Here is a 9,402-nt window from a genome sequence, read left to right as displayed (position 1 = left end):
AGCTTGTCAAAAGCCGCAAAGCAAGGTAGTGGCATAGACCCAAGTCTTTATTAATAAAATGATACTGTATTCAAGATCAGTTTGTAACAATTATAAATAATATGAAGAACTGATCAAATACAGTATCCCAAAACTTTGTGAATCATTATGGAGTATTTATGCTTTTGTTTCTATAGCCCCAGTAGAGTTTGGCCCAACTTTTCCCAGGGTACTTCCCACTTTACCTTTCTGCTCCAAACAGAACATCATGGAGCTCAAATCCAACCCCAATCTGAGTCCAGAATTTAAGGAAGGGGCAATCGAGAAGACAGATTTCAAGAAGAAAAGGATGCTGAAAAGGAGAGCATTTCTTATGTCCAAAGTGAGGGATCATTTGCACAGCTTTCCCAGTGGAAAAAAAAAAAAACCTCTCCTTGGAATATCTCTTTCTACAAAAATGATTGGCTTTCCCATCTTGTATCCAAAATTTATTTACTTGTCTTTTTTTATGACTATGCAAGGGGCCTCAAGACATTTTTCTCTTTATCTTTGGATTTTCTTTTTTGTGTTGTTCACATTGTGCTTTGGAAAATAAGGTTCCTGTTATGAATGGTTAGCAATTCCAGGGAAGGAGTTTTCATAGTTTCCCAATCATAAAACATAACGTTTCCACAAAAACATCTTTGCACAGACATAAATTAGGAGGCTAATGTCACAATGACCGACTCCACACCCACTATTCTCCCCCATCCTTACATGGCTAAAGATAACTGTATCCATCGTAAAAGAGTAAGTCAGCCTGCAAGCTGCAGCAGCTCTGATGAAGGCTACAATAAGATGGAAAGGGGATTCCCGTGTCAGAATTAGAGTTTTGTTTTGATTTCATTCTAGGACCCACCCACCACTAGCCTCAATTACTCCTTCTGTCCCCACACACAGATGCTATACCACAATGGGCAACTTAATGAGTGATTCCCACACTTTCTGCTTCCTTTCCTGCCTCCTTTGCTCATACTGAATCCTCATCTGAAATACCTTTTTTCTGTCCACTGAGCAAAATTTCAGACAGTGAGATACTCAAATTTTATCTCTTATTCAGGGACTTTTTAGCCACTTTCATAGAAAGAACTAATCATTTCCTGCTTTGTAATCTCATCCACATGGTTTACACAATTAGTTGAAAAATGTCTCCACTATACTGGGTTTTTGTTTTCTTTTATGTCCCTCACTCTAGTCTGTAAACTCTTTGAGAGCAGGCACAGTGATCTTTTTGCACCTGTGCAGCCTAAGCATCTAGCAAAGGGGTCTGCATACATTTCCTGTAAAGATCCAGATGAGCAGTTACAACTACTCAACTCTGTGGTTATAATGTAAAAGCAACCAATATGTAAGCAAATGGAAGTGGCTGTGTTTCAATAATACTTTATCTTCAAAAGCAGGCCGTGGGACACATTTGACCCACAGGTCATAGTTGTCAACCTCTGATCTAACATAACATCTGGCACATGCACACACGCACACACGCGCACACACACACACACACACAGCTCAATAAATGGTTATTGCTGAATAGCCATACTTTCTAATAGTCTCATTATAGTCACCAGATAACATCTTATAATGCCATCATAAAAATATGTGCTTATTATATGTTAGGTACATAGTATTTAGTGGCAGCCTGCAAAACCAAACAATATATATCTTTCTTTGAATCTGTGAGTAGTAACTCAGACTACCTTATCTAAAAAAAGTAGACAAAAAATTAATTTGAAAATGGCATTCCGTGATAGTCAAAATTCTCAGATACAGGAATTGAAAGTTAGTAAGGAGAAAGTATTGGCCCTGTGGTGACTAGCAACTATTCCTGCTAGAGTTGAGAGAGGGCTCTGACCTCCTGATACTGAGAAGTGGTAGGGCAAGGCCCCCAAATACAGGGAGATGGAACACATGGCAGAGGAACCAGCTCTTACATCACTGAGTAATGACAATGTTAATAATAAGTATTATCACTATAGCAAACACTTAACTGAGTAGTATACTTACTATGTGCCAGGCACTGTTCTAAGTACTTGGCATGCATTTAATTTTCACAAAAATCCTCTGAAGAAAGTATTTCTTTTATCTCAAATTTACGATGAAAATGAGGCTCAAAATGGTTAAATAATTTATTGAGGGTAATGCAGCTAGCAAGTGGTGATACTGGCAATGTAAAATTCAAGGATTGGTGTTGGTGTATGCAATAGATGTGGTTCTTAAATACAGGTGTATAGACTACTGAACAAGAATCACCTGAGGAATTAATACAGAGTCCTAGACCTCATCTTTAAAAACACTGAGTCAAAATGCCTGTGGTGAAATCAAATAATCTCTCTCGTTTTTTTGTTTTTTGTTTTTTTAAAGTTGCCCCATGATTCCAATGTGTAGCTATAGTGAATTGAATGGTAGCTTTCAAAAAGATATGCTTTGTTCTAATCCCTGGAACCTGTGGGTGTTACCTTATTTGAGAAAATCTCAGTGAGCCCTAAATTTACTAACAAGTGTCCTTATAAAAGACATGCAGAGGAGATAGAGAGGGAAGAGGAGAAGGCAATGTGATATGGAGGCAGAGATTATAATGATGCATCCACAAGTCAAGAAATACTAACAGCCAGGTTCGGTGGCTCACACCTGTAATCCCAGCACTTTGGGAGGCGGAGGCGAGTGGATCATCTGAGCTCAGCAGTTTGAGACCAGCCTGGGCAACATGGCGAAACTCAGTCTGCACAAAAAATACAAAAATTAGCAGGGCATGGTGGTGCATGTCTGTGGTCCCAGCTACTCAGGAGGTTGAGGTCAGAGGATCACTTGAGCCCAGGACATGGAGATTACAGTGAGCCAAGATCATGCCACTACACTCCAGGGTGGGGACAGAGCCAGACCCTGTCTAAAAATTAAAAAAAAAAAAAGACAAAGAAAAGAAAGAAAAAAATGCTAACAGGCATCAGAAAGCTGAAAGAGGCAAAAACAAATGATTTTCCGCTAAAGCCCCCAGGGGGAATATGGCCCTTGATTTCCACTTTATGAATTCCAACAGCGTGACAGAGGAAGTTTCTGTTGTTTTAAGCCATGCAGTTTGTGGTACGTTGTTATAGCAGCCTTAGGAAAGTAGTACAGAAACACTCTCACTTCTACTTTATAATTCCCAGGCCCACGTAGGCTGAGTATGAGGGAGATATAATGGTGTCTGATTTGAAGCATATACTACATCATGTAAAACAGAATCCCATCCTTGCAGGGTATTGTCTCCCAACTGATGTCATAACCAAGTCTTCATCAGCCACCATCTTTCAATTAGGCCAGCTAGTTCTAAGTAATGGAGGTGTGTAGTAAGACTAGCTGATTTTATGGGCATGCATCCATTGCTGTACATCTGTTGTTGTGGCATGAGATTCTTGATCAGATACAATGCTGTGCAGAATACCATGACAATGGATAAGGCATTTCATTCGTCCATGGATCATGACACTAGGAGAAGTATTATATGTATAGAAGGCAAATCCATTTCTAGAATATGTGTATATTCCAGTGAATGTGAATCTCTGCCCTTTCCATGATGAAAGAAGTCAAATGCAATCAATCTGCCATCAAGTAGCTCACTGGTTCCCCTGTGAATGGTCCATATCAACAACCCAGTGTTGGTCTCTGTTGATGGCAGATCGACTCAGTAGTTTTATTTAGGTTAGCCTTGATTAAGGGGACGTCCATGTTCTTAGCCTATTCCTGCCACCATGACCATTTTGTTCATGGTCCCAATGAACAAGCACTGATGTGGCTGGGGAAAGAGTGATTACATCTACAGGAGAGTGCAACATTCTGTCCATCTAATTATTAAGCATCTCTTCTACAGGGATAACCTGTGGTGGACATTTGGATGAAATACAAATATCTTCACCTTCGGTGCCAATTCTGAATAGTCTACCCACATACTTCTTCTGTAGACTTTCTTGCCACTAATTTTCCAATCCTGTTCCCACTAAGCACCTGACCATCCAACTGCCCATGAATCAACATAGGAGCCATACTTCTGGCCTTCTATCACTTCAAGCATCATAGACAATCAAACATGCTGCTCAGAGTTCTTCCCACAAAGGGAATTTTTCTTCACCACTGTCCTAGCATAAGAAATATGGGTTTTCTCTTGTGGGTAATGGGGAACCTGAGAGAACATTAAACAGAGAATTTTAATAATTAACTTTTAAACAGAGATTTGAATAACTCACCAAGCCAATTATTATATGGTAACAAACCCCACTCCTAGAAATAAATGGGCTCCTTCAAGGCAGAATTCTGTCTTGAAGGGATTTTTACCTATAGCCCCTTCTTAATACCAGAACCCTGATTCTAATCAAAAGTAAAGTCTACTTAGGTTTAAAAAATACATAAAGCAATACCTAAATGTTTATTTAGCTGGGAATTTTGGAAGAAAGAATTTATTGAGAATGTCTAAGCTTACAATCAGCAACACAAACCCTTATACAATGAATTATATAAACATGTGCACTATAAATGTTCTCATATTAGTGTTCAGTTATTTCTCATTAATTAGGTGGTGAGAAGTCTTAGGCCATGCAGCAAAGAGGCTAGTTTTCCAGAATTGGATCCACTTCTTCTAGGCATCCTTGCTGTAATGTTTAATTTTTATTTTAGGGTCCTTGTAGTATTTAATAATTTCCTATTGAATGCTATACTGAATTGCCACAAACTTAGTGGTTTAACACACAACAAATTTATTTTCATACAGTCCTGTAATAAGTCCAAAATCAGGTCACTGGGCTAAAGTCAAGGTGTCAACAGGGCTGATTCCTTCTGGAGGTTCTCAGGCAGAATCTACTTGCCTTTCCAGCTTCTAGATCCCCCTACATTCCTTGGCTGGTGGCTCTTTCTCCCATCTTCAAAGCCAGGAGTACAACATCTTCAAATCTCTCTCCTGACTTCCTGACCTCTGCTTTCATCATTACAACTTCTGTGAAGAATCACAGAAGTGATTCTTCTGACTCTCTTCCCTCCCTCTTGTAAGGACCCTTGTGATACATTGGGCCACCTGGATAATTCAGGGAAACTTAATTATCTCAATGTTCTTAACTGAATCATATCTGCAAAGTCCCTTTGCTATGTAAGGTGACATATTCACAGGTTCTGGGGATTGGGATGTGGACATCATTGGGAGATCATTATTCAGCCTACCGCAGTTCTTAACGCTCTTTACTGAGATGAGTTAATCTTTGCTTGTGAATTGCTTGAAGTACCATTTTTGCTGTTAACTGATTCCTACAGAAGATGTTGCTTTCCTCTGAAAATGCTCCCTGCAGCTTTCTCTGTTAAGGAGAGGGGCTGTGTGAGGCTGCACCCCTGTCCTTCCCAGGTACACTCTACATCTGAGTTCTCTTTGATAATTCTGTTCACTACTGGGAACTGACATTTTCCATGGGGATATTGGGCTGGAATGTGCATTTTAGACCTTATCTGGCAGAATACTTTTCTCCTTGGAGTTGCAGCCAGAAACAAATTCCCTTTTGTACAAAACATGAATACCATCTTACTTTCTGTGAAAACACAAATACCTCCTCCAGCCACACTGTGTTGCTAAAGTTTCAGAGGCCTGAAAAGGAGCACACTTCTTCCCCCACCCAAGTTCTGAGCCAATCAAGAAATAAGACCACCAAGTAAGGCAGAAGAGAAATCAAAACATCACCTTTATGGTTATATTTGAGAATTTTGCCTGAAACACTAAGCAAATAGGCTTCCTAATACTGAAACCTAGAATTAGGCCAATTTTCCCATGCTATGACAAGCAGCATGAGTACTATAGGTCTCCACATGTGAAGTCTTACCCTAGAAAACCTTATGGCTTGGAGACACATGGCAGGACACATGGTTCCTGCAGGCAGCTCATACCTAAGAGCGAGTGGCTGAGCTATGCATACCCACTTCTTTTCTCAAACTCGACAATTAGATTATTTACTCTACTTGCATCAGAAGAGGCAAGAAATGAGACAAGATCCAGGAATGTCCCATTAGTGAAGCTTACTTCACATGCAAGGAAATGGCAGTAACGTTGGAAGGAACTTCCACTACTGCCAATAACACACTTGGCCCAGATAGGTGGATACAAAAGCTAAGGAGTAGTACTAGAGCATTACCATCTCTGATCAAGCTGTCTACAACAGTGTTGCTAAGAATTCTTCAAACACAGAAATGTTATTTCTTATATAATTCTTTCTTTTTTAAAAAAAAAAAAGATGGGACATATGAAATGTCAGTTATATGTAAATTCACTCATAGGCGACTGAGCCAAGTCACACAAACATGTTCTTGTTTTAATTTGTATACATAATTGCCTAATAATCATCCTGGTTCACCTCTGAACAGTTTGCTTTAAGAGGCACTGGTGTTATATAAAAATATACAAAATGGACAGCTTGAGTCAGAGCATAAAGAGCTGTTAAATGACACATATTTACCCTGTCTCCCTGATCCCAGTCTCTTTCCTTACTGATGTTCCAACCAGATTAATTTACTTGAAACCTACTCTGTTCACATTACCTATCCACATGATTTCACAGTCAAACACAGACTCCTTAACCTGGAATTCAAGGTCTCAACCTGTCACCAACCTTCTTTCCTACTAGTTTTCTTCACACACCCTTTGCCTCGAACTATACTCTTCATCATTCTATACACACGGCCAGGCATTTCCTGCCCCTTTACAACTTGTCCCAATATTCTCTCTTTCAACTTTATTCACATTTCCATGTTTCTTGATCCGATCTTCATCCTGACATGCAATTCAAATGTCACAACCTTCCAGCTCAAAGGAATCTTTCACTTCTCCCACCTGCCCATTCAATTCCTCTCTGGGCCTTGGACACTAAGTCTGTTGCAGCAGAGACTACATCATGTTTTTATCTTTTGTTTTCTAAAGAAGGATAGCCATGGATAGTTGTGTGGGTTGTGCATGGTAGTCTTGCCCTGAAACACCTAGCAGACTGCCTAACAAATGAGAAGTACTTGATCAATCATTTTTAATAAATGAATGAATGACTGTGAATTGAGGATATTGGCATTACATTGGTAATTACAATTACCAACGTAATGAACTCAGACCTTAAGACACTGAAAAGCCTGAAGTCAGAACTTAAGGACTAAAAAAAGGGAGACAAGGCTAAAGGGAGCTTAACTCTTTTATCACATGAACTAAGATCTAGGCTCCATTTTAGGTCTGATGAGACTCCTCCATCACGCACGCACGCACGCACGCACACACACACACACACACACACACACACACACGACAGAGTTTCTTCCTAGCCCTGTAGATCCTTCCTTCCAGGATCACTGTGTGTGGTCATCATGGTTGTGCAGGGTCCCCAGCAGGCCTGTGCTTACCTCACTGCACCCACTCCCCACCTTCAGCCCTTGCCAGGACCCATTTAGTAAGAGTCGATCTTACCGCTGAGTCCCTGTCGCCCATACCAGGAAAACTGCTACTAGAAACAATATCCAACGCCAACTCCACTCTTTTCATGGGAACCTACCTGGCTCTGGGAAGAAAGAGTTAGAACATATTATCATAACAATAACCCTGAGAGCCCCCATTGTCAAGAGATCAGATTCTGAATAGGTGGACTGTTCTGGACCTGGATGGCTGCCTTCAAACACAGCTTGCTTATTCAACAGAACTTTGTCCCTGAATAGGTATCACACTCAGAAGAAGGGGAAAACCTAGCAAGATAACAGCCCAGAGCTCTCCAAATGAAACCAGGCCCCTGACCACTTTCCTTACCACTTATGTAGCCAACTGAGATGAGTAAACAAACCAAGGAGTCCTGACAGGTTATCCAGATGGCCTGAGCAGTTAGTGCCACATCTCACCGTTCTCTTATGGACCTCAGTGCCAGAATTTGGAACACATCCATCTGTGCAGACAAGTTACACAGAACTCAGGACAAAAGGTGATATTGCTTAGAATCTCAGATTGCAGGTGTTACAGCTAACAAACTTGGGCTTGAATTCTGATCTACAGCTCACAGGGAAAGTTCACTTTCCCTCATTCGCATTCCACCGTTTGGGGATGTGAATTATGGGATGGGAGGGAAAGAGCCAAATTTTCCTTTGTGCCCTCAGGACAGTATGTAGTTATGAGTACTGATCCTGGATCCAGACAGGCCCAACCTCCACCACCAGGCCTGCCACTGCACTACTTAACATCTCTAAGCTTCAGTTTTCTCATCCGCAAAATGGGACTGCTTATAATAGAACTGAATTCAAAGGTTTCTTGTGAGGGTTACATGAGATAATATTGGTAAAGTGTTTGGTCTAGAGTAAGTCCTCAATAAATAATAGTTACTTTTAAAGGAGAAAATGACATGCAATTCAATAAACATTTTTTTCTAAGTGCTACTATATTAGAACTTAGACTGATTTTCTCTTTTACCAGTTTCGACTAGCTATTATTCTTTTAAAAGGTAAATAGTCCCTGTCATTTCTAAAATTCCTTTATAGCTCATGTGGTTTGAATACCTACCCTAGGCCTGGTCATGTAACACATTTAATACATGAAATCTCTTTTAGCCCTTACTGTGGTTATATATATGCAAAGCAGGTGATACTATTCCTGCTTTATAGCTGAGGAAACTGAGACTCAGGAGAGTTAACTGCTTTGCCAAATGTATTAAGTAGATATATTTGAATCCAAGGGTCCTGACTCTGAAATTTCCTCAGAGCCTAAAACTAATTCATGCGCAATAGCCAAATGAGAACCAAAATATTGACTTTATCCATGACCCAATAAAGTAGAAATTGTCTACATTGAGGAACACAAAATGAGACTCTTCTCTCTCTAGATCCAGACCTGGAGACTCCTGTAGCAAGGGATGGGTCTCCAGTTAGCCACTAAGCTTACATGTCCAGCCAGTCACAAGTCCACCTCACCTCCTACCTGACCCCAGAGGAGAGCAGCTAAAAGAGGATGGTGACATTTCCCAGGTGTCAGTGTTTCCACATGGAGATAGGAAACAAGGGTTAGAGGCAACGCGAGTAAGAAATAGAGGAGACTACACCCATTAGTAAGAAGAAATGGCCTAGGTTCTCATCATCCTGATTTGCCACTCCTACCCAAGGGATGAGGGGCTGTCGGAGTGAGCACGGGCAGAGAACAGCTGAACAGTTCAGCTGAGATGCACCATTTTAATGGAAACATGTCAGGTGAGGAAGGGGAGGTAAAGGGCCTTTTGTAATCATTCCAATTCCAAAGCTCACTTCACACCATCACATCTGTCCATATAGGAATGTACACTGCTCAATAGATAACAGAACTTTTTTATTTCAACTTATAAAACTGTCAGCACAGTTGTCAAAGAAAATAATGCCACCTCTTGGTCAATC

At 40.5% G+C, this 9,402-nt stretch overlaps 1 annotated feature.

The window, feature by feature from the left end:
- Positions 7,360 to 7,997: an enhancer, noted in NCBI's record as "OCT4-NANOG hESC enhancer chr12:103115830-103116467 (GRCh37/hg19 assembly coordinates)". NCBI's record gives its function as "activates a minimal SCP1, AML or CMV promoter by ChIP-STARR-seq in naive and primed H9 embryonic stem cells {active_cell/tissue: H9 hESC(naive and primed)}" and the evidence as "EXISTENCE:reporter gene assay evidence [ECO:0000049][PMID:30033119]".

This window comes from Homo sapiens, chromosome 12 (assembly GCF_000001405.40).
Source record: "Homo sapiens chromosome 12, GRCh38.p14 Primary Assembly".
Lineage (NCBI taxonomy): Eukaryota > Metazoa > Chordata > Mammalia > Primates > Hominidae > Homo > Homo sapiens.
The sequence above is the reverse complement of the archived record's forward strand: the minus strand, read 5'-3'. Positions and strand labels throughout refer to the sequence as shown.